The sequence below is a fragment of the Homo sapiens genome, chromosome 3 (assembly GCF_000001405.40).
Source record: "Homo sapiens chromosome 3, GRCh38.p14 Primary Assembly".
NCBI classification, from domain to species: domain Eukaryota; kingdom Metazoa; phylum Chordata; class Mammalia; order Primates; family Hominidae; genus Homo; species Homo sapiens.
In genome coordinates, this window is record NC_000003.12 from 1,364,208 (window position 1) to 1,389,197 (window position 24,990).

The 24,990-nt window shown below is 36.2% G+C and overlaps 1 protein-coding gene across 22 annotated transcripts in view; it reads left to right on the forward strand.

Annotated features, from left to right (window-relative positions):
- Positions 1 to 24,990, forward strand: part of CNTN6 (contactin 6) — a 311,194-nt gene that overhangs the window by 271,184 nt on the left and 15,020 nt on the right. For 21 of the 22 annotated variants that reach the window (XM_011533590.3, NM_001349351.2, NM_001349354.2 and 18 more), the window contains 8 exons: positions 8,092 to 8,267; positions 8,631 to 8,748; positions 9,397 to 9,555; positions 9,717 to 9,866; positions 12,798 to 12,868; positions 18,735 to 18,969; positions 19,086 to 19,201; positions 21,404 to 21,590. In XM_011533590.3, the coding sequence (XP_011531892.1) occupies positions 8,092 to 8,267; positions 8,631 to 8,748; positions 9,397 to 9,555; positions 9,717 to 9,866; positions 12,798 to 12,868; positions 18,735 to 18,969; positions 19,086 to 19,201; positions 21,404 to 21,590 (1,212 nt within the window). Of the gene's footprint in view, positions 1 to 8,091; positions 8,268 to 8,630; positions 8,749 to 9,396; positions 9,556 to 9,716; positions 9,867 to 12,797; positions 12,869 to 18,734; positions 18,970 to 19,085; positions 19,202 to 21,403; positions 21,591 to 24,990 lie in introns of those variants that run through there. The other variant, XM_047447974.1, reaches the window with a different exon arrangement.

A 24,990-nucleotide genomic window follows, 5' to 3' on the forward strand; every position in this document is an offset into this window, starting at 1 on the left:
TAAAGGTATTTATTTCTAGACATTGCAAGTTAACTAGCAAGAGAAAATATGAGAGAATTTTGTCACCTATTTGAAGTGCTATTTATATACTAGTTTACTTAATATTGATTTCTTAGCAACATTTTCTATAATGTCATAGATAAATAAAGGAAGAGCCCCATGTTTGTACAGGAGGAAGAGTTTGATAATTTTTCTTACACTTTTGTCTATCCTTTGAGAGGAGTTTATAACTTCAGCAACACCTTAGCAGTTATTATTCTGAAAAGTGACATTGATAAGGGTTTCAACTGAGTTGAAGGAAAAAAAAAACAAAACAAACAAACAATATTTTCTGTATGGTCAGGAAAGATGAATTATACATTTAACTGCCATCCCCTTGCTTCTAAAAATGTAGTTAGAGATCATGAAAGGTAAGAGTGTATTTATTTGGCCATTGATATAGAGAAGCAGTCCCATTTTTAAGTGTTTAAAGAAATCACAATAAATGGTCCTGACATAAGTTTTGATGTAATTAGTCTTCATGTCTGCTGGGGTCCCCGTAACTAAAATGCATTCTGGAAACATCATTGGCTATTATGAAATGTGAATTTCAGTAAGGCTATTCATCAAAAGCGTCACATCATATATTCTATTACTCTTCTTAAGAATAGGACTGCTAGATGAAGCTGTTTTTATATAATAACTTTTAGCTCACTGACAGAGATTGAAAATGGTAAATATTAAAATTCTGTGGTTTTACAAACTCTTCATGAATGATTGTCATTTATATTTAGGGCAATCTTCAAAAAGTGGCTAGTTCTTATGATTTCAGAAAGTGAATGAGAAATGTTCCTCCCTATTCTGTATGTAAATATTCACTCTCCCCCAACATGTTCTTCCTTTTATTATTGAAAATTGCAAGCACACACAGAAGTAGAGGTGATAGTATAAGAAACTCTCATGTATACATCACTCAGAGTCAATAGAAGGCAACTCTTATCAATCTTGTTTAATCTATACACTAACCTACTTCCACAACTCCAATTATCTGGAGGCAAATCCCAAACCTCAATAATTTCACCCACAAATATATCAGAATGTATCTTTAAAAGATTAAGGAATCTTCTTTTTAATATAACATAAAACCAGTTTTCTTATGGTAACAAATTATTATTTCTAAATTATTTAGAATTCAAATTTCCATAATAGTCTCATAAATATGTAAGCTTATATGTGTATGCATGTTAAATAAAAACACATATATTTTATATGTGAATATATGACATATTTATGTTGTGTTTAATCCTCTTCAATCATGAAAGCAACATTTCCGGACATTGTTTCTCAGAAGTCCTTATATACCAAGATATACTTCCATTTCTATGTACGAACACTGTATGTATCAAGAAATGTTACATGGATTAAAAATATTCCATACTCTACCAAATGTAGGAAACCTTGAATTAAATAAAATTTTAAAAATAAATAAACTTACTTTTAATGACAAAAACCGCAATTACTTTTGCACCAATCCAATAAATAAGAATTCCTTTCATTTAGGAATTCTCAGAGCTTTTAATATGTTAAAATGTTTAAGAAATGATAAAAGTGGAGATAATATACAGAATTAATTACAGTTAACCTTGGGACTCCATCTTTCTTTCTTGAAGTATTACTAACCAGGAACACTTACTGGATATAAATTTTTCCTAAATCCACAGTATTAGAGAATTTCAGACAATATATTTTATATTTGAATGTTTCTTAAATAGAAATTTCAGGTTCAAGTTTTAAAAACTAAGGGAACATTTGTCAAAGCATGGTCTCTGGAATAACTATATCAAAATCAAGTGGAGAAGCCTGATGAAAGGACGTATTCAAGGTCTAGACACACTGAATCAGTATTTCTGGTGCAATATGAGGAGCTCACGTTTTGAATGCATGCTCAGGAAACTCTTACACATGTTAAAATTTTAAAACCACTAGATCAGACTTCCTACAAATGGCTAAGGAATATGCAAGAAGAATAGCATGACATGAAATGAAAGCGAATAAGTAACCCTTTGTTTTGTTTGAAAAGACTTAAAGAATCTCAAATTTTTACAAACGATAGAGTCTAGCGTAGTCAACAACTTTCCTCCTTTTTAATTTGTTATAATTCAGGCCCTAAAGATCTCACCGATCCATAAATACCGAGAAGTGTTTCAGTGTCGATGAGCCTCGAGTAACTGCAGCTACTCTACTGGCACATATGCACTCTTAGGAAGTGAGTAGAATATAGGATCTGAGTGGTTTGAAGAAATCTCTCAGATGCTTGAGTTTCTTAAGAATTTAAGGTGTATTTGATGAGGAATTAATGGACTGAAGCCCCTCTTCTTTCCACAAAGTAGCATGAACAGTTTTGCATATTTCAACTGTGCAAGCACCAATCTTCCAGTCCCTGCAAGTGTGATTTTTGTCTCTGTGGGGTACTCATGTTAGTGCTGGGGCTGAGGCTGCACATGGCTGTAGAATGAACTCTTTGAGAGAGCAATCAATGGCCTCATGGCTATTAGACAGCCATCTGCACAGGATGAGGACAGGTCTGCCTGTGGTGGGTGGAGAGGATACAGCAGTTAAAATGTTCTTGTCCAAGCACCTCTTCACCCACACAGGAGGCTACTCCCAGGAGGAACTATGCATCCCCTTTTTCTGGATAATAAGCATGCTTATGTAGAGCTACTTCTTTTCAAATACAGTCTATTTTTCACACTGCAGATAATGGTATGTCATCATATCACTCCTCTGCTTCATACTTCCAAAGTTTTTAACTTTTTCAGCAAAAAATGCATTTCTAAAATTTTTAATTGATGAATAGTAATTTTGTTTTATGTATTTGTGGGATATAATGTGATATTTTGATACATGTTTACATTGTGTAATGATTAAATCAAGCTAGTTAACACAGCCATCACTTCACATCCTATCATTTTTTTGTGATGAGAATTAAAATCCTCATTGGGTAATTTTGAAATATGTATTACATTAACTGTAGTCACCATGCTGTGCCGTAGGTCTCTAAAACTTATTCCTCCCATCTGAAACTTAGTACGCTGTGAACAACATCTCCTCATTCCCCATCCCTCCCTCCCACCAGCCTCTGATAACCACCATGCTACTCTTTACTATGCTACTCTCTACTATGTAAGAATATATTTCTTAGCGTGACATCCAGAGCTGGTTTCATGGACATACAATCCAGTCACACAGAGCCCTGTGCTGAGGAAGTCCCCATGTTTGAAATATTCTGCTGTGACTGTCTTGAAATTCTTAATCATTTTACCTCTCAATTTGTGTTTTGTACATACTAAACACAAATTGAGAGGTAAAATGATTAAGAATTTATTTGTAACCTGTGTGTGCATGAGCTGCTGCTGCTGCTGCTTCACCATACCCACATGCATATGTGGCAGCTCCTGCACACACAAGTTCAGGCTTAAAGACCCAGCAGTCGGCATGCGTGCACAGCAGTTGGTGTGGTGTGCAGGTGTGCACATGCTTGCCTGGGTAGTCATAGTCCTGGAGTCCTGAGGGCATGGGCACATCAGAACCTGGGCCTCTTAAAGGGATGGAGATAATGGTGGTAGCAGCCATAGAAACGGCAGTGGATGGCAGCAAAGGCTGCAGGAAGCGACTTCAAAAGTAGTCAACAGGAGGATCCAAGGTGGGAGGCCAGCTTGCCCATACCTCGCCGGAGGCTGTCTCTGTGGGATTTGCAAAAATATTAACTCTCCATCCTGAGCACCAGAACAGAAATTGTTAGTGCTCAGGCAATAAACTTTGTCAATAAATTATTGCAAAAGGAAGGCATACACATGGACATTGCAATAAAATCCACAGGCTTAGAAATAGAAATTAAACTTAAAGATTATTCCAGTCAATGATAAGAACATTATTTTTATATGATGCTTTGGGGAAACCAATAATTGATGAGTTTTGCTTTGTAATTGAAGATACAAAAATGGAATGGTAAAACAGGCATTTTGAACTATACGAAAATCATGAAGTCCCTTTCAATTTCTTGTACAACCTCCACAAGTTACAGTGTATGTCAGAGGAAACATTAAGATTCCATTGCATACATTTATATTTAAAATTAAATTCAGGCTTTCATAAAACAGATTTGTATAAAGAGTTAAATCTTTTTAGAAAAATATTGGTGAAGAGAATCATCAGCTCTAGATATTTCAACATTTATATTTCAGTGTATAATTCATCAGAAACTTCTGAATGTTACTACAGTCTATAAAACAGTCTTAATGGTTTCATAAAAGTTGCATCAGAGAAAGATACTTTGCAAAATAAAAACTTATCAAAAAGTATTTGTGATCTTGCATTTGCCAGGAGTGACTGATGTCACTGAAGTTATATCAATTGAAAATGAAGTTGCTAAAAATATAAATTCTGTTGATCTAGTAAACAATTGACCAGAAAAGTAATGGAGAAAATTATATAATCAATCAAGATATAACCTCAATAAAGTATTATTTATTATATCGTATAAAATTATGACACCAAAATCATGTATTTTGTAATTTGTAAGTGTATGTCATCACTCATCTATGAATCATACCCTAATTTTATTTTATAAGTTATAAATTATTTTAAAGCGAAAAGCTTTGTATTTAATACCTTTAATGACACTTTTTCCTCTTTTTCAAAAAAGACACCCCACGCTTTCATTTTGCACTTGGACCCACAAATTATGTAGCTGACCTTAATGACGTTTGTGGCTTATATCCTGACCAAGGCTATCCTCCAGCTTCATCTTCTTCGCTTTCACTCCTCTATTACTCTGTGTTTAATCCTTTCATTTTCAGCACATGGTTGCACGGAGTCTGCCGATCACAGTTCTTTTTCACACAGTTTCTCTGTGAACGCTCTTGCCTGCGCAGGAAATCTAGTTTCCTCTCTCTACCTGCTACCTTTACCCAGCTCACTACTACTTGCCTTTTACTTCTCAGCGAAAACAGTTCTTTCTCCATAAACTGATCCCCTCAGGATTTGCCAAACATTTCAAACAAGTCACTTCTAGTATATGGTGCTTATCACACATTACTGTATAGTAACTAATATGATTGGATTCATGCTAGCTTCCTTTTGTAGACGTTCATCTCTGTGAAGCAACACTCCTTATCTTTTTGACTTGCTGCGGGTTTTTTTTTTTTTTTTTCCTCATTTTCTTCCCTATCTTGACTCCAGTACTTAGCATAGGATTGGACATACATTACATGCTCAATAAATATTAGTTACAAATGAGTTAACTAGTGAAAAATGTAACCATTATAAGTGATGAAATAAACATTTCTTATTCATAAAGCTTTCATCATTATTACTGTACAACAATGAGCTATGTAGATAGGGAATAATTTGTCCAACTTTGCCACTATGTGGTGTCATAAATGGAAGGACTTGCTGTCATTTTTAATGTCTGAAAATTACTTTAATTGCATGATCTAAAACTTTAAATCTGGGCAGTTTTGCTCTGTCAACACATCCAGTTAGCCAACTTATCCTCCTATAAATGTAAATAAGACATTTGTGATTTTTTTTTTCAGAGTAACTACAAAAGGAAAATATTTTCTCTAGTTCTAAAAAATTTTCTTGGATCCCTGGATATCTTTTTTTTTTTTAAGGTTCAATCACACTTTATTCATTTATGTTTTTAAGTTTTTTAGGTCATACATTTCCTCAATTCTTCATACATTTTATTTCAGTCAATTAAATTACAAAACAATACAAGCTTTTTAAATTCAAAGTCTAAAGTATATAAAGTAATAATGATTCCCTCTCTTTCTCTTACCCTTCAACTTCACCTTGCTAATGTAACAAACTTAATAATTTAATGTGTATCTTTTTTTATTTTCTACTAGTTTATTCTTTGATTAGAATCCAATAAGATCCAAAAAAAAGAAAGAACCCAATAAGATCCATACATGGCAGTTGGCCAAGTTTTTTTTTAATCTATTGGTTTCTCCTCCATCTCTCTTCTTTTTCTTTCTTTTTTTTTAATTTTATTATTAGTATACTTTAAGTTTTAGGGTACATGTGCACAACGTGGGAATTGAACAATGAGAACACATGGACACAGGAAGGGGAACATCACACACCGGGGACTATTGTGGAGTGTGGGGAGCGGGGAGGGATAGCATTAAGAGATATACCTAATGCTAAATGACGAGTTAATGGGTGCAGCACACCAACATGGATCCCTGGATATCTTTTACCCTTATTTTGGTTGCAAATCTGTGAAGAAGCCTTGGAATTAAGAATGGGCATAGTCCACAAAATCATTCTTTAAATTTCTCCTTAGACAAAATTAGAATATAAAGTGCATGCATCTGGTTAGGTGCAGTGATTAACGCCTGTAATCTCAGCACTTGGGAGGCCAAGTCAGGTGGATCACTTGATGTCAGGAGTTTGAGACCACCTGGCCAACATGGTGAAACTCTGTCTCTGCAAAAATACAAAAATTTACCTGGCATGGTGGTGCGTGCCTGTAATGCCAGCTACTCAGGAGGCTGAGGCAGGAGAATCTCTTGAATCTGGGAGGCGGAGGTTGCAATGAGCTAAGATGGCATCACTGCACTCTAGCCTGGGTGACGGAGCGAGACTCCATCTCAAAAATAATAATAACAAAAGTAAAAAAAAGTACATGCATCTAATATAAATATGGAAAGTATTTTAAATAATAAAAAATGAAGACATATTTGATACAGAATGAGTTTGATTTTCTCTATTATATTCATATTCAGAACTATAGCGTGTGTTTTTATTTTTTCATGGCTCTTTTGTCAGTATGTACCTTAAAACCCCAAATTATTACTTCCTACTTTCTACTTCTAAATATTTATGAATGAAGAAAACAATTAAAAATGTTTAAATGGTCAAATAATAACTAAACATTCTATTGGTAAAATGCAGTTACACATTAATCATTGTGAACATATAAATGCAATCTCAATGTTAGTTTGGTTTCTTGAGCAGAATGAAGAAGGTAGAAGAAAGTGAAGATTTTAGTCCATTTCTTAGAGAGCTAAACTTTATCTTATAAATTACCCATGGAGAAATAGATTCTCCATGGGTCATTTCACTATTTTTAAACTTCTTCATGTATAATTTTTTTTTTACAATAACTTGCCTAAAACCTTTATTCTTAAATGTAAATCTTTCAAAACAATTTATTCTTGGTAAGATGGTACATATCTAAATCCAAATATTTGTCCAGGGCCCCTTCATAGATATTGAGTTGCTCTTTGATGAATTCTCAACTCTCTGGAATCAGAACTTTATTATAAACGAAGTAGTCATAACGATCTACATTGTGAGTCTCTTTTAATCTGAACAAATATAGGACTCTCAAGTACAACTGGCACACCCTGGGATTGTCCTTTGAAATTTTGGTCAATGAAATGCTAGGTCTTGTAAAAGAAAGATTGACATAGAGAACATTTCTAGAGGGAAGGTTTTTATGATGGATGCATAATTTTAACACTGGAAAATCTGAATTATTAAAGGGAAAACTTCCATCTTCCCTATTCATGTTGCATCTTTAACAAAAAGAAAATTAGAGCTACGTCAAAGACAGAATAATTATGTTGCATTCACCCTCTTAAATATAAACGTATGTCTAAATCTCTATAGAAACTATGGTGGTCATAATCTTAGAAACATGGTTTGTCTCATGGTATATGAAGTTAACAGAGAGCATTTAGAGCTGTTACCAGTGTGTCAATTGTAATGTTATGACTAAAATGTTAGAATAAAATATAACAAAAACAATGCAGTGCATCCTGTATATATGGAATGCCATTTTTTGAGGTCTACAGTTTTCTGTAAACTATTTTCATATAAGGTGTGAATATATTTTTAATTTTAGTATAAGTAATAAGCTACAATAATAAATACAAGACATTTAAAAACAGGCAAAGGAATATTTCATACTGGACATTGTAGAACTCCAGGTTGCATTTATATAATTTCAAATGAATGATAAAGTATTCAGAAATATGTATTTTATAACCATAGGCTAGCATTTCATAAGCTTTAAAAAATAATTTTTTTTCTCAACAGAGAGAACTGTCATTACCGTCCCACCTTCCAAAATGGATGTTACAGTTGGCGAGAGTATAGTGCTACCATGCCAGGTGTCCCATGACCCCTCCATTGAAGTGGTATTTGTATGGTTTTTCAATGGAGATGTCATAGACTTAAAAAAAGGAGTGGCTCATTTTGAAAGGATTGGAGGAGTAAGTTACTGAAATTGTTAAGTGCTTAATAAAATGAATCAAGTCTTTTACATGAATCACCATTTTTCATAGTTACTCTCTCCATCTTTATTTGCATGGATAATCACTGACTGTTTTTGAAGCTACATTTGTTTTTGTTTTGGTTTATTTTGTTTCGTGTCTTCCGTAGAAATACTTGTTTTCTAGATGTAATTATAATAAGGGGGATAATAAAAGGGTTTAGATACAAGAAATGACAATGATACTAGTATATCTTTTAATTTCAGAGTTGTTTTATGTTTCGTATTTATCCAGCTGTAACAATAAAGTAGGACTTGTTATATGGGCTTACGTTTTTATCCATTTCTCCCTTTCTGTCTGCAGGAATCTGTTGGGGATTTGATGATAAGGAATATTCAGTTACATCATTCAGGAAAATATCTCTGCACAGTACAAACAACCCTAGAAAGTTTATCTGCAGTAGCCGATATCATTGTTAGAGGTAAGCATAAATGGTGAAAAAGTGATCACATTGTTTCTTCACAGTTACAGTGTTCATATCTAAATTGTAGACCTCTGAGAAACCACACCATGTTATGGAAGTGAGATGTAATCAGATAGAGTTTTATTTTTTAAACCCCAGGACTCCATGGTATGGGTAGTGTGAATACAGACATGGAACTGTGTGAATACAGACATGGAACTGTGTAGGATTTGACTATCATGAACGGTCACGCTTGGCAAGCGGTGTCAGTAACTAAAACTTAGACATACCTTCTGTTTATAATAAATCATTCTTGTCAATCCAGAGTCAAATCCACATGCTCCTGTAGTTCTTCATATTAGCTGCAATTACTTGAGTTAGATTTTAAGAGGAATTAAAGATGATGGTTCTCAATCTTTGAGTATAGGTTGATATGCAATCATCCTATGCCTGATATTTTCTAATCTCCAGAGGAAGCACTACTACATTAATGTCATTTACCATGTAAAGGGAATTAATAGAACTTTATCGCTAATAATGTGCTATAAATACATTATGGTCAATATTTTACTTCCTAAGCACAACAGGTAAAAATAAACCATCCTAGTACCAAATTAATGAATGTAAGTATCTCCAATGGAGTCATGATAAAACATTTTTTTCAAGGTCCACCAGGTCCTCCTGAGGATGTGCAAGTGGAAGACATTTCCAGTACTACTTCTCAACTAAGTTGGAGAGCAGGCCCAGATAATAACAGTCCCATTCAAATATTTACTATTCAGACTCGGACACCATTTTCTGTGGGTTGGCAGGCTGTTGCTACAGGTGAGTGACAAAAGTGTTTTGGGTCACTTTAAAAATAATATTTTAGTCCAATAATTTTAATAAATGCAATTACATTTTAAATTAATAATTATATAATTTTGTACAATTATTTGTTTTTGAGTAGTCCCAACCTAGGTGCCTTAGTGTCTCATTCTTTTTAGTTCCAGAAATTCTCAATGGTAAGACATACAATGCAACAGTGGTTGGTTTGAGTCCTTGGGTGGAATATGAATTTCGTGTTGTTGCCGGCAACAGCATTGGGATTGGAGAACCAAGTGAACCATCAGAATTGTTAAGAACTAAAGCATCAGGTAAAGAATCAATGTGTTCTAAAAGTGTGGAAGATTTCGTATGATACAGTTCTTAAAACAAAACAAGTATTTTTATGTGTCTTCTAATACTTTTGGCTCAAAATTGTTTGGCAGTAAACGAGTGGCTCTCATTTTCTTTTATTTTTACATACACAAGGCAAGGTGTATTTTCTCCAAATAGTAGGTTCAATAAGAAATGATTACCTTTAAGCCAACATGTCAAAATCAGAGTTCTTAGGAAACTGTGTTTGCATCGCATCTATTTTCTAGTCAAAATTCATTAGAGAATCTGTAGATTTGTATATGCAAATGAGTTACTGCTTGTTTCATTAAAATGTTGTAGCCAGGAATTAACTGAGACTCTGTTGGTGCAGTCAGCCATATATTTTCATCTATTTCTCAACTCTGAACTAGTTGTAGCTTCACTGAGCAGTAGTATAAATTTTTTTCCATGCAAATGAGGTAAATCCTAAGCTCATTTAACAGGGGCACTAATTGAGCATTAATTGGTTCACTGAACAGCAGAACGCAAGAACCTGGATCAGATACCATGCCTTCTTAAGCTCTTTTCAATGGATCCTCTTTGTTCCACTCAAACTTTTACATCCAGGGTGACATTTAATCTGCTAGCTGTATATAGCCCACAAAGTTCACATTCTTATTCGATCACATAAACAAAGGATCACTTGTCATGGCTAGCTTAATTTAACAAACACAAATTACCTTATTAAAGTGTGCACAATTGTCAGAAGTCAATAAATCAATCCTTAAACTAAAGATAATGTTATATGTTTATCATAGAATTGGGGCTAGAAAAAGGACATACTTGACAGTGATATCATCCAATTAAATCACGCTAGAAGCTTACAGCTGAGAGGAAATCCCTTTGTTTTACAGAAGAGGAAAATGAACACCAGGATATTAGCTGGTTGTTTGTGACAGAGCTAGGTTTTGAATCCAAACCTCCTGATTTTTACACCCAGCATTCTCCATAAAAGAGGATCTTAATGTAGATGAGCAATAGATTAGCCAAAGAAAGTGTGTAAATATAGAAATTCCCCGGCCCTCCTATATACCCCCTGGATCAGAATCTTCAGGTGTTGTCCATGACTCTGGATATGAGCTTTAGTTTCAGGTTGTTTGTTTACAGTTGATTTATATTTTGGTAGCTTTGGACAGGGTTGACAGAAACTCTTACATTTTCATAGCAAAGTTTGTGTGCCACCTTCTAACCATTAATACTCTCTTGTTTCAGTAGCAGAATGAGACTGGTGATATTCATACCCACTGAGTCAAACTCTACTAACTGAAAACCTACTGAGTCTCTCGTCTCTCCCTCTCTGTCTCTGACATCATCAAAGACTAACAACTTGTTCTCAATATGGTTTTAGGCTTAAGTACAATTAATTTAAAATTGAATAGGGAAAGGAATTTTCTATTTCTCAGAACATTGGAAACTTTGTAGAAAGTAAATCAAAATATAATTCAAAATACTTTTCCTTACACAGCTAAACTATGCAAAGATCCTGAGATAGTGTGCAGTTAGTCACTCTAAGCTGTCAAGCACTATAAATTCAGCAACTCTGTAAAATCCACTCTGATTCACATCGCTTTTGATCAAAGGCATTGGAAGTCTTAGAAAATAAGGTTTAGGTTCACATAACTTCTTTCTAAAAAATTATGAAGCTTAAAGCTGACAAAGTTAAGGGTAAATTTAAATACGAAAAGGTATATCTGAAAGGTGCAATTTTGAAAAAGAACAATCAGATTATCATATGACTATTTTCTGGTCATGTTTATAGAGCTAAACATCAGTATGAAATGGAAATAAATAAAATAAGCAATCTAGATTTATTTAGGTGGTCTATATGGTGGGGAAAAATTTGAAATGAGGAATTAAAACTTACATATTTTAATCCCTGCCTACCAATCCCCAGACATATCCAAGTGCCTCCTCAACCAACCACCTCTCCTATTGTTCAGACATGGTCCAGTATAGACAATTTCATGTAATTCCACATTTAAAAAGTATACCCTGCTGATTTAGCGATTATCACAGATTTAGGATACTTTTGTCATTACGTCAAGAAAAATAATGCTTTTAAACACTTACGCATGTGTAAAGTAAAACCTCATTCTCGTGAGGCACTACAATACCATATACACACTCAGCATTTCCTCAGTTTTACAGTTTCTATGATCTATTATTCATTGTGTTAGTCCTTACAAGGATACAGAGTTGAAGGGCATAGTTTTTTAAAACTCATCAAAATTACTGGTTTCTGAATCCTCTACCACAGAGCCTTAGATCCCAAGAAATAAATAGAAAGAACCTCTCCCAGTCGCATTCTTGACAGGAGAAAAACCTGACTTTGCAAGTGAAAAGTTAGAAGAAAATCCCTCTTCTTCTCTCCCGAGAGATTTGAGATTGTAACGAGGAGTTTTAAAACAAGAATATTTATTTACATATTTTTCAGTATTTAATTTTAACTGGTAAAATATCCTGATGACTAATAAAAGGAAAAATTAGTTTAGTTTGTTTATTGAAAAAAAATAATTAATATACTGCCTCAGTAACTTGTTTACAGCTCAACTGTATAATTAGGCACTAAATCAGCAGTGTCACTGTCACCATCTGAATGGAACATCATTTTGCCAATTAGTAGATGATGCATAATGATGTCAAATACCCGATGTTACTCAATTTTTAATTAATTTTGGAGCCAGGGTGCTCATGTATCAAACACAACTGTGTCCTCTCTCTTAGAAATTTGGATATGTGTAAACATAATTTACGTTCATTAAAAATGCAAGACTCTCTCACAGTATGCCTGTGTGAGATTTTGAAAAGTGAAATTCAAAAACAAAATTCTTCCTGATGAAGACGTACTTTAATAATTGCCATCCCACATTTCTCTTGGTTATTTTTAGTCCCTGTTGTGGCACCAGTAAACATCCATGGAGGTGGAGGAAGTCGGTCTGAACTCGTCATTACGTGGGAGGTAATTTTCTGTCCAACTGAGTTATTTTGAAGAAAAGAGATTTAACTGGCCAGAAAGAAACTGAAAAACAAAAAGATTTATTTGATCACTATTGAGAGCGTAAAAAAATATGGTATAAAAATACATCATCCTGATGATGAATTATTTAGAGGAGGTATTAGGAACTTTTCTCATGGTGAGACAGTATGACGAACTCAGCACAATTTTCTCCCAAATACACGAAAAACAACTTCAGTATCTATTGAGCGTGTGTCAGTAGCATTTTCGTTATCGCTTGATGAATTAGGCATTGTTTGATTTGTTACCTGTGGCACTGTTGTATTGTGAATAAGTTGAGCCCAGTAGACTGTAGGCAAAAAATAGTTCTTGTCCTAACCCTGCTGTTCACCTCTGATCAACTCATTCTTCCCTGCATCTAGATGAAAGCTTAGGCACATGGAGTAGATTTTGTGGTCATTCTTATTACCCATTAACATACAGGCTCATTTTTTTACCTTATTAAAAATTTCAGTCTGGTGTGTACACTTCAAACTGGAGTATAAACGTTAGAATTTAGACTTTCAACCAATTTAAAGTTTCTCATTTTCAGTATCTCAGTGCCTCAGCCTAAGAATTCTATAGCGTGAAAGGGAATACGTGGTCAGTTCAACTTCTCTCCATTCTGCTCTTTAATTTATCTTTCCCCATTCACAGTGTTACCTCTGGATTCTCCAGAGCTGTAGAAGGTTGGTGTTGGTAGGGGAGGAGAAAGGAAAAGGTCTGGATTGCTGGTACATTTCTCGTTTGACTTTGGTGTGCTCTAGTTATGGCAAATTATCAGACGCTGCCATTTCATAGGGTAGGGTTTCTGCGTTTTTTAATTTATTTTTTATCTGGGAGATGGCCACTGGATGATCCCCCACCAAGGACTCCCAACTGCAATTCCTTGGTGCAGACCCAACTGGCTGCTGAAGGGTATCAGTTCCTGGATTTTGGTGGTCCATTTCCAGACTCTTCCAGTGAATATTCTCTCTCTTGTAGGTGGTCTTTGTGGATAGAGTCCCCTTGAAGGCTGTCCATGGATGACCCACTTGCATGGGTTTCACATTTGTCCTCAGCAGACACATACCCTGCTCCATGTTTAGCGGAAGTGCAATGCATACCCACTTAGCATCTCTCTTCACTCTGCCACCGTGGGCTGTCTGGATCTCTTCCCCACTTTAAATTTCTCAGACATTTGTCAGTTAAATGAACCTGCGTCCCTTATGTTCCAGGAAATGCAAACCAGGTGTTTCTTGCTGTAGCCTACTTCACATAGCTAGGCTATGAGAGATAACTGGGAACCAGAGACGTTATTCTTTATGGTTATAAATGACAGTGTCAGAAACTAGATGCAATTGCCCTGAAAGTCACCCTTTCCTCTGGATATCTTGTTTCATGTGGACATTATAGGCCTAGCACAGTGCTTGGAAAGTGGTCCACCCTCCATGAACACTTGTTGAATGGAAGGTAGTGTTTTCAGAGAGTTGGAACTCTCAGAGGCCAGACAGAGGGGGAAACCCTATTTTTTCAAGCATTTACAGGATTTCAGGTGCCACACAGAGCATTTCATATCATTCAGTCCCCACAATAATGCTATAAGGTGGTTATACCACTTTCAAGTAAGAAAACTGAGACTTAGAAAAGTGACATCATTGGGCAGAGAAGCATTTGAACACAGGGTTCTCTCTTTCTGTTCTTTTACTGTATCCTGTATTACAATCCCAATTGTCTTCATGCACTGTGATGGCTGAGGGTGGGCCTGAGTCCTTGAGTATATCTACCTTAAGTAGTAAGTTAACCATATTATACCTACTACTCCAAACATATTTCCCATAAAACACTGACTTTCAAATGAGTCTACAAGAGAATTGTTTGTGAGTAGTTTATTTAGGTTTCTATATTCATCAAAGGCCAAATAAGCATTATCATCATAGTGTACAGGAAGTTTTGCCTGACTTAATAACTTATTTTGTTCTCCTCCTTGGTAAGAAATTCCTACAGGCTGTTGTTGCAATTGCTTGTACACAGTCTATAATGAGGGCCCAAATGCTATGCATTCATTCTTAAATAGAGATGAGCATGAATTACCAAAGAATACTGTCTTTCCACGATTTATAATGTTCTTTTTTCTTTAAGGCAAAGGTACACAAACCATGACCTATGAGACAAATTTGTCTAGTTTCCTGTTTTGATAAATAAATCCACCCATAGCTACATCCATTAATGTATTGATGCTTTCTTGCTGTTGCATGAGACCATATATCCCACAATGCTTAAAATATTTACTATCTGGTAGCAACAATAGACGCTAGCGTCTGCTAGAGTGACGAGAGGAAGGGCGAGGGTTGAAAAACTAGCTATATTAATGGGTACTGTGCTCACTACCTGGGTGACGGGATCCATCATACCCCAAACCTCAGCATCACACAGTATATCCATGCAACAAACTTGCACATGTACCCCCGAATCTAAAATAAAAGTTGAATTTTTTTTTTAAGTTTACTCTCTGGCCCTCTACAGAAAAAGCATACTAACCCCTATTTTTAAAAATTAAACTAAATTAAAGCCACTTCCTCTGTGTTTATTTTTTCTTCCTGAGGAGGAGGTGGGGGGTGGATATCTGATATGCAGATACTTGCAGAAAGTAAATTAGTGAAATCGGTTTCCCATTTATCACTCATATTTGACATTATGTACAAGCAGATACTGAGCCAACTTCTTCTGGTGCCCAGCTTCTTTATGGAATAAGTTATGTATATTTAGGAGAAGATTCATACATTAGGATGAATCTGAGCCACCAGAATGCAGGTAGTAATTCCTTCAATTTAATGAACTCTATTAGGTAGCTTCTCTGTTCCTATCAGTGGAATACAAAAATGGATGAGAAAAGGTCTGAATGCTCAGAAGCGTAGAGGACAGAATGGTCTTAACCCAGCCTGGAAGGAGGTCAGGAAAGACACCATCAGAACTGAGTATATCTGAACTACGTTTTGAAAAGTGACTTGGAAGTAGAGAGGCCACCCCAGGTCAATGTCACTCCTGTTGTAGTTGAAATAGTACCTGTTGGACTTTGAAAGGCACTGCGCGACACAAGACTGTTCTAAGTTCAGTCACAATCTGCCATTACGTTTCATAAGTGACAACTTTAATGATTATCCTTCATTTAGGCTCCCTGTGGTATAATCTGCCTGAACTGAACTAAATATCTTTCCCGTGTTTTCCCCAGAGCCACACAATAAATGTAGATTTTTTGTTTATTTGTTTTGATTTGGTTTGTTTCCAAAAACCTAGACATAATATCAAATTTTTAGAATATAGCAATGGGTAATTCCTTTTTAAGGGCATGTTTATACATTATTTTATCATAATGTGTATACTCCCAAATACTTCCAGGTTTGAGGTGCTTGTGGTGAATGTCTCATAAATATTACTATAAAATTAGGTACACAGGATAAAGCACTATAGAGTAAGAGATACATACCTACACTGAGGGTTGGCACGCTTTTTATTTAAAGGGCCAGACAGTAAAAATATTCAGTCTCGTGGGCCACATGACCTCTTTTCTAATGTCTCAGTCTGCTTTTGTAGCTCAAAAGAGCCACATACCACTTACAAACATATAGGTGTGGGTGTGTCTCAAAACCTTTATTTTCAAAACCAGGCTGCATGCCAGATGTGGCTAGAAGTACATAGTTTTGCTGATTCTTAGTCTGTACTAAAGATTTGGTTCTTACAGACACTGTGGTTGAGAATTACATTATTAGTTTATCAATTTTCATAGATTTTACTCCCAGGAGAATTTCACAATTTCTTTATTTTACTGAACACTGTCTCCACTTAAAGAAAACTCTTTTTCTGGCCTTGTTAAATAACTATATATATTTTTTAATCATTTGACTCTCTGTTGATGTAAGAATAAAGGGAAGTATCTAAATAAGTCTCTTTTTTCCCCTCTAATCTGCATATGTTGGACTCAGGTCTTTCTTGAGAGAGCACCATGAGAAACACTAATTGTACTTGACTAACAAAAACAAAACTCCCCTATTTATGTAGATGAACTGACTAAGCATCGTGATTAAATCCGAGATGAAAGAAACTTCAGAAATGAATCAAATGCTCTAGCAAGTAGCATCGATTCTTATAAATCTCTTCCATGCCATTCAAAATTAACTGGTTTACTTCTAGTCTCCCTATGAAAAAGAAGAGAAGTGTTAATATGAGGAAATACTTTGTTGTTTCCCCAGATGTCCGGAGCAGCACTTTTCTTCCTCTTTTCACTTTCTGTATTTGTTAGACTGTTCCACATGGCAAGAAATAGAGACCAGCTCAGGTCATCTCGGGTAATGGGGGTTTATTTTAAAGCTACATGGGAAGTAATGAGGACAGGAAAAAAGTCTCAGCAAGCAGGCAGGAAGGTCAGATGAAGAACCGGAACATGGTTCATCACTGCTCTGGGCACTCGGGCACAGGAGCTCTAGGCAACCATCAACAACCCCTCTGCTGATCCAGCCCCGGCTTGAATAGTCTCTCATGCTTATGCCTCAGTTCCTCCCATTTCCTTTACTTCCAGTTTTCTACCTGGCTGCCAGCTAATTTGGATGCCCTCTCTCTAATTTACAGCATCTGTTTTCTCTTAGCTTCTATTGCCTCACTGTTCCTGCTACTCCATGTTCTCTACTTTTTGCCTGCTCTGTGTATATCTATCATTGTTTTGCCACCCACCATGTTTCATATGCAAACTCTGTGAGAGGAATTGACCAGGTCTGTTAGTCACCGTAGAGTACAGAGATTCTGCCCTCATAGATACTCACCAAGACGGTGCCTGTGGTTCTGGCGCTCGTGAATTGGTGCTCGCATGGGTTCCAAGTGGCAAGTAGATAGTGTGATTGATAGAATAAATGGACTCCCATGAATAAAGAGAACCTCTGAAATGGAGTTGTGGACATGAGGGACTAGAAGCACTGTGTCCTGTCAGGTGTTGCCTTTATTAGTCTGTCAGAATATTTATTAAAAAAAAAAAAGCAAAGCATTTTCCTTGGGAAAAACCAAATAAATTCCATTGATTTTTCAATACAAGTTTCTTGCCATCAGGAGATATGTTGGTCTAAATTCAAGTACAGATTCATTTTAATTTGCTAAGTTTATGTGATTGTTTACAATTTTTAGTATCTGCAGAGTACAGGGGGAATATTACCAATTTCTATTTTGCTATTTTAGTAATTTTAGATTTGAAATGTATTTTATAGAATCTGATCTTTGTGAGAGTTAACAGTTTATTCTTTCATGTGAGGAAAAATGCACACATGTCACTACCAATGAAGATGTATGCCTAAAAAAATGATGGGAGGTCTTTTATACTTTTTTAAAGAAATATTCTGTGTCTTAAAGCATATGTTATTTCACAGTAATTCCATTACACATGTCTTACAAAAACTTGTTTAAAATGTTGTGAAAGGAAAACATATCTAGTCTTGAAATAAATAGTTAAGAAGTTAATTTGTGCTGAGTTTAAAAATTCATATCAAACCACATTTGAGTGTGTATCATAAAATCTTTTAAACTGTTTTATTATTATAATTTATGAATGATCAAAGAAAAATATATAAATATGTAAAGCTTGTTTTATATTTCTATCTGAAAACTTAAACTATTTATCTGAGTATCTTTAACTGGGATCATTTTTCTAATTGGCATTCCAAATAAAAGTGTTTTTTAATACATCATTAAACAGAATAAATATCCATATTTGTCTCTATGGAAGAAATGTGAAATAATCAATAAACATTATAGTAGCTTAATAAAATATTTTTGCAAATACTCAGTGATTGATCACATTCTGCCCAAGTCAATTCCAGAAGAACTGCAGAATGGGGAGGGATTTGGATATATCATCATGTTCCGGCCAGTGGGCTCGACAACCTGGTCCAAGGAGAAAGTGTCATCTGTGGAATCATCAAGGTTTGTCTACAGAAATGAAAGCATCATCCCACTGTCTCCCTTTGAAGTCAAAGTGGGTGTGTATAATAATGAAGGAGAAGGATCCCTGAGTACTGTGACCATTGTCTACTCTGGGGAAGATGGTAAGTTGTCCTCAACTCTGGTTTTCTTTGAGACTCTATGCATAGTTTGTGTTCCCTTGTTCCATTTTCAATGAACCACTCTGCTAAAGATGGTTATGTCTTTCTCTGGATGGTAGAACCTCAACTGGCCCCAAGGGGAACTTCTCTCCAGAGTTTTTCTGCTTCTGAAATGGAGGTTTCATGGAATGCTATTGCCTGGAATAGAAACACTGGAAGAGTGCTGGGCTATGAGGTAATCCACATTAATTTCACTTTTGCTTATGAATGTGCCAATGGACTTCGCAATAGCTCCTATTCAACAGTCCTATCCTACTAGCCTGTTGTTAGCATATGATAATGTGTGTCTAAAGCTAAAGCAGAGAATGAAGTTGAGACAGGGTAGGTGAGCCCCCACATTGAGAGGCTTAGCCTGGGATGTTTCTTGTCCTCGCTCAAGACAGAATTCGAGAGTGAGCCAGTGGTAAAAAAACAAAAACAAAAACAAAAACAAAAAAAAACAGCTTTATTGAGGCAGCAGTGTTACAGTTTTGAAATTGCTTCTGCAGAGCAGGGCTACCCCATAGGCAGTGTGCTAAGAGCAGCAGCTTGGAAGCAGTTCTACACTCATATTTATACCCACTTCTAATTACATGCAAATTAATGGGTGAGTTAGTTATTCAGAAATTTCTAGAAAAAGGGTGGTAACCTCCAGGCCATTGCCATAGAAAGGGATGGTAACTTCCAGGTGTTGCCATGGCAGTGGTAAACTGATACGGAACTGGTGGTTGTGTCTTATGGAGAGGTGCTTTAGCCTCTTCCCTGTTTCAGTCAGTCTTCAATCTGGTCCACAGTAAAGTCCTGCCTCCTCCCTCAAAGTAAGGGAAATCTTTCTAGGTAATTCAAAGCAAACAAATTAACACATAGTAGCCATTTTTAAAGGCATACAGATTCAGTAAGTAAGATGAGTAAGCTCTAAAGATCTGCTGTACAACTGTGCACACAGAGTCAACAATTATGCATTGTACCCTTAAAATTTTTCAAGAGGACAGATCTCATATTAAGTGTTCTTACCACAACATCATTTTTCAAAAGTGATCAGGTGATTATATGATTAATTATTCAAATTGCAGTCATTTTTTTTTCCCTTGGTAAGAGGTGAAGTCTGCTCCTCAATCATCTTACACCATGGAAGAATTTCATTGAGAAACCTGCTTTGTGAATTGCAGTATAACTTGGAAAGATGTAATCATCTCAGAAAAGGCAGTTAAGTAATGAAAAAAAATACCTAGATTGTCTTGAATCTGCTATTTTTAGTCTATGAAGAATAAGGCAAATTACATTTGTAGGCCTTCATCTCACAAAGTAAAGAGACAAGAACATTTTAAGGGAAAGTTGTTCATCACTCAATCTTTTTCAACTTGCAAATTCAGTGATTCACAAAATGGGTAACATAATTTATTTAACTTTGGATTTAGAATAAATGTATAATCCTAAACATTCTTAATTTTGCCTATATATATATATATATATATACACACACACACACGTATACATATACATACTATATATACACACATATATATACATATATACACATATATATACATATATATACACATATATATATATATATATATATATACACACACACACACACATATATATATATATATATAACCATAATCCTCTGATTCCAACAGAAAGTTCTACTCTCAGGACAGGTGTCTTTTCCACTCCATGCCAAGAATGCCTTACCTCTTATCTGAACCCTAGTTACTTCTCAAATTTCATCCCTAGTCGCCTCTTCTCTCTGAGCTCTACTCCCATCAATTCCTGATGTATTTTGTCAAATTCTTGTAGCATATTTTTTCTATACCACTTCTTTGCAATGCATTCTGTGACTTATTTTCACATACACTGTGGATTCTAACCTCTTAGCTAGATGATAAGGGGCTTGAAAATAGGTACTTAATTTATTCTCTTTTTTTTTCAATGTACCTAAAACAATGCTAATGCAAAGGTAGGGTTCAGTATAAATTGAATTATTAATTAACCTGTGATTCAAATAACTCTGAAAAGAAATGCCAATAGCAAGACATTATAATGAAAGTCTTTGACTGATTATATACAAATGTGTTTTTGTCTGACTTGTTATACATCATTTGCTAAAGCTGGTAACCTTTAGATAGCTCATAAAATACTTTATTTTGGTAATCTAAAAAATCACGTTCTCTAATTTCCATTGTGAATTTGCATTCATGACTTTTTTCCTCATAAATATTAGAGAATAACAATTTTGTTGTTGTATAACCATTTTAATTAGAAAACGTTTTTGTCATCTATACTTCTGTCTTCTTCCCATATTCCTTGTGGTTGTGGTTGATAGTTGTTGGTAAAAAATGATTGATAGTTATTGGGGAACAATAAATTGCTTGTTTTGGTTTTTAATTATCAGGTCTTATACTGGACAGATGACTCCAAAGAATCCATGATAGGTAAAATTAGAGTCAGTGGAAATGTCACAACCAAAAACATCACGGGGCTGAAAGCTAATACCATCTACTTTGCTTCCGTAAGAGCTTACAACACTGCTGGGACAGGGCCCTCAAGCCCCCCAGTCAATGTTACCACCAAAAAGTCTCGTAAGTATGCATACACTCCAGGAAACAAGATTCATCTGTGAAGAGCAACCTATTCCTTTGCTTGATGTTCATTTCATTCCCACACCTCATTTCTTTACTAATTGGTTACTTTGGTTAGTTGGTTTGTCCCTTAAATATGGATACTTGTTGAAACCTTTTGGTAACAATCAAGGTAATTGTTTTCATATTTCTGGAATTCCAAAAGAGGAATATTCCAAGTATATCGATGAAAGACAGAAGAGCATAATGTTTAAGACTGGCCCTGACGCCCTCCTTCTAAATGCATTCAAAAACTGACCTCCTATCCTTGGAACGTTAGGTGGTATTTATCTTTGAGTCTCAGTTGCCTACCTATAAAATGAGGAAAAAGTCATATTTATGTTTTCATAGGTTTTGTTCAAGATTGAAAGAGATTATTAATAATAAGTGTCCAGTACACACCTTAATATATGCTCAGTAAATGGTTTTTTTGTTTTGTCATTTGAGTCCGAGTATATTCACATGTGATCCTACAACTGTCAGACACCTAGATCTTTCCTTTTAGGATACCTTATTACTACAGCTTACTTGGAAGTCCCTGAAATCTAAGAATGAACTCTTCTGTTTTGTCTTATATCCCCTGATAATCAGCCAGGTGATTTCACAGAATCAGAATCTGCTACATAAAAGATGAATGTTTTTCATCTTTTGGTGATTGTTGCTGCCTTTATTTTCTGACTGAGTCTGGTAATGCACAAATATTCCATAATACGAGGCACAGCAATAAATTGGGAAAGGTCTGATCATCCGACTTAGTTGTTCCTGTAAGATGATTTTTTTGTGGTTGAATAATATTTACATATTCCTTATATATTATTAATGAACACAAATTATTCATAAAATCAGACTTTTTAAAACACATTTTTTTGCTCTCTGAATCCTGATGAATGAAAGATAACAAATATAGTTGCTGAATTTTGAGAAAGACTAAGACAAATTCAGTGCCACTTACAAAAATCTAGTTTACCTATACATGCCGTAGTCTAATTACACCACCATATTTGGAAAGAAGAGATGGTTAAGAAGAGTTTGAAAATAAAGTTATATTAAAGTTATTCCCCTTATGCGTATATATGCGTATATTTGTCATGTCCAAAAGAAGTTAGTTAGGAACCATCTCAGAGAATAGGCCCTTGATTAAATAGATTATCCAGTTATTTCCACACAACCAGATCAACTGTCAGATATTCATGTTCCAATTCTGGGTACATCATTGACTCACAACTTGAAATAGGACAAGGCATTCCATTTTTTTGCTTTCATGTTCTTATCTATTTATTAAATAGAAATTATCTCTGTCCTCACTCCTTCCCAAATTACCCATGAAGCACAAACAAGGTACTGATTCTGGAAGCATCTTAGAAAATACAAAGTGCTGTGGAACTGCAAAAGCCTGTGGAGCAAAAATTTTTGAACCAAATTTCCTCCAGTCCACCCAGTTTTAGACAGGCTGGGCTGTGAGTTATTTTCAAGAATGGATTAGTTAACAATGAAGTTCTATTCCTTTTCCTGTTTTACTCAATGTTGACTAAATCAATGAAGTTGTTGCCAGATAACTTGGATGTATGATTTGCTTCTTTGGTCTTCCTGGAGTGGTTTAGCTTCTTTCAGCTAATCTGCAAATCCGAATGAAAATCTCCAATCAATCAGCAGTTTTCAGATTACCTAGACATTTAGTTCTAGTTGACTGAGAGATGCCAAACTCACAGAAACTCTTGTGTGTAGGGGGAGGAGCCAAGATGGCCGAATAGGAACAGCTCCGGTCTACAGCTCCCAGTGAAGACGCGTGATTTCTGCATTTCCATCTGAGGTACCCGGTTCATCTCACTAGGGGGTGCCAGACAGTGGGCGCAGGTCAGTGGGTGAGCGCACCGTGCGCAAGCCGAAGCAGGGCGAGGCATTGCCTCACTTGGGAAGCGCAAGGGGTCAGGGAGTTCCCTTTCCAAGTCAAAGAAAGGGGTGACGGACGCACCTGGAAAATTGGGTCACTCCCACCCGAATATTGCGCTTTTCGGACCAGCTTAAAAAACGGCGCACCACGAGATTATATCCTGCACCCGGCTCGGAGGGTCCTACGCCCACGGAATCTCGCTGATTGCTAGCACAGCAGTCTGAGATCAAACTGCAAGGCGGCAGCGAGGCTGGGGGAGGGGCGCCCGCCATTGGCCAGGCTTGATTAGGTAAACAAAGCAGCCAGGAAGCTCCAACTGGGTGGAGCCCACCACAGCTCAAGGAGGCCTGCCTGCAACTGTAGGCTCCACCTCTCGGGGCAGGGCACAGACAAACAAAAAGACAGCAGTAACGTCTGCAGAGTTAAATGTCCCTGTCTGACAGCTTTGAAGAGAGCACTGGTTCTCCCAGCATGCAGCTGGAGATCTGAGAACTGGCACACTGCCTCCTCAAGTGGGTCCCTGACCCCTGACCCCCGAGCAGCCTAACTGGGAGGCACCCCCCAGCAGGGGCACACTGACACCTCACACGGCAGGGTATGCCAACAGACCTGAAGCTGAGGGTCCTGTCTGTTAGAAGGAAAACTAACAAACAGAAAGGACATCCACACCAAAAACCCATCTGTACATCACCATCATCAAAGACCAAAAGTAGATAAAAACCACAAAGATGGGGAAAAAACAGAACAGAAAAACTGGAAACTCTAAAACGCAGAGCGCCTCTCCTCCTCCAAGGGAACGCAGTTCCTCACCAGCAACGGAACAAAGCTGGACGGAGAATGACTTTGACGAGCTGAGAGAAGAAGGCTTCAGACGATCAAATTACTCTGAGCTACGGGAGGACATTCAAACCAAAGGCAAAGAAGTTGAAAACTTTGAAAAAAATTTAGAAGAATGTATAACTAGAATAACCAATATAGAGAAGTGCTTAAAGGAGCTGATGGAGCTGAAAACCAAGGCTCGAGAACTACGTGAAGAATGCAGAAGCCTCAGGAGCCGATGTGATCAACTGGAAGAAAGGGTATCAGCAATGGAAGATGAAATGAATGAAATGAAGCAAGAAGGGAAGTTTAGAGAAAAAAGAATAAAAAGAAACGAGCAAAGCCTCCAAGAAATATGGGACTATGTGAAAAGACCAAATCTACGTCTGATTGGTGTACCTGAAAGTGATGGGGAGAATGGAACCAAGTTGGAAAACACTCTGCAGGATATTATCCAGGAGAACTTCCCCAATCTAGCAAGGCAGGCCAACATTCAGATTCAGGAAATACAGAGAACGCCACAAAGATACTCCTCGAGAAGAGCAACTCCAAGACACATAATTGTCAGATTCACCAAAGTTGAAATGAAGGAAAAAATGTTAACGGCAGCCAGAGAGAAAGGTCGGGTTACCCTCAAAGGGAAGCCCATCA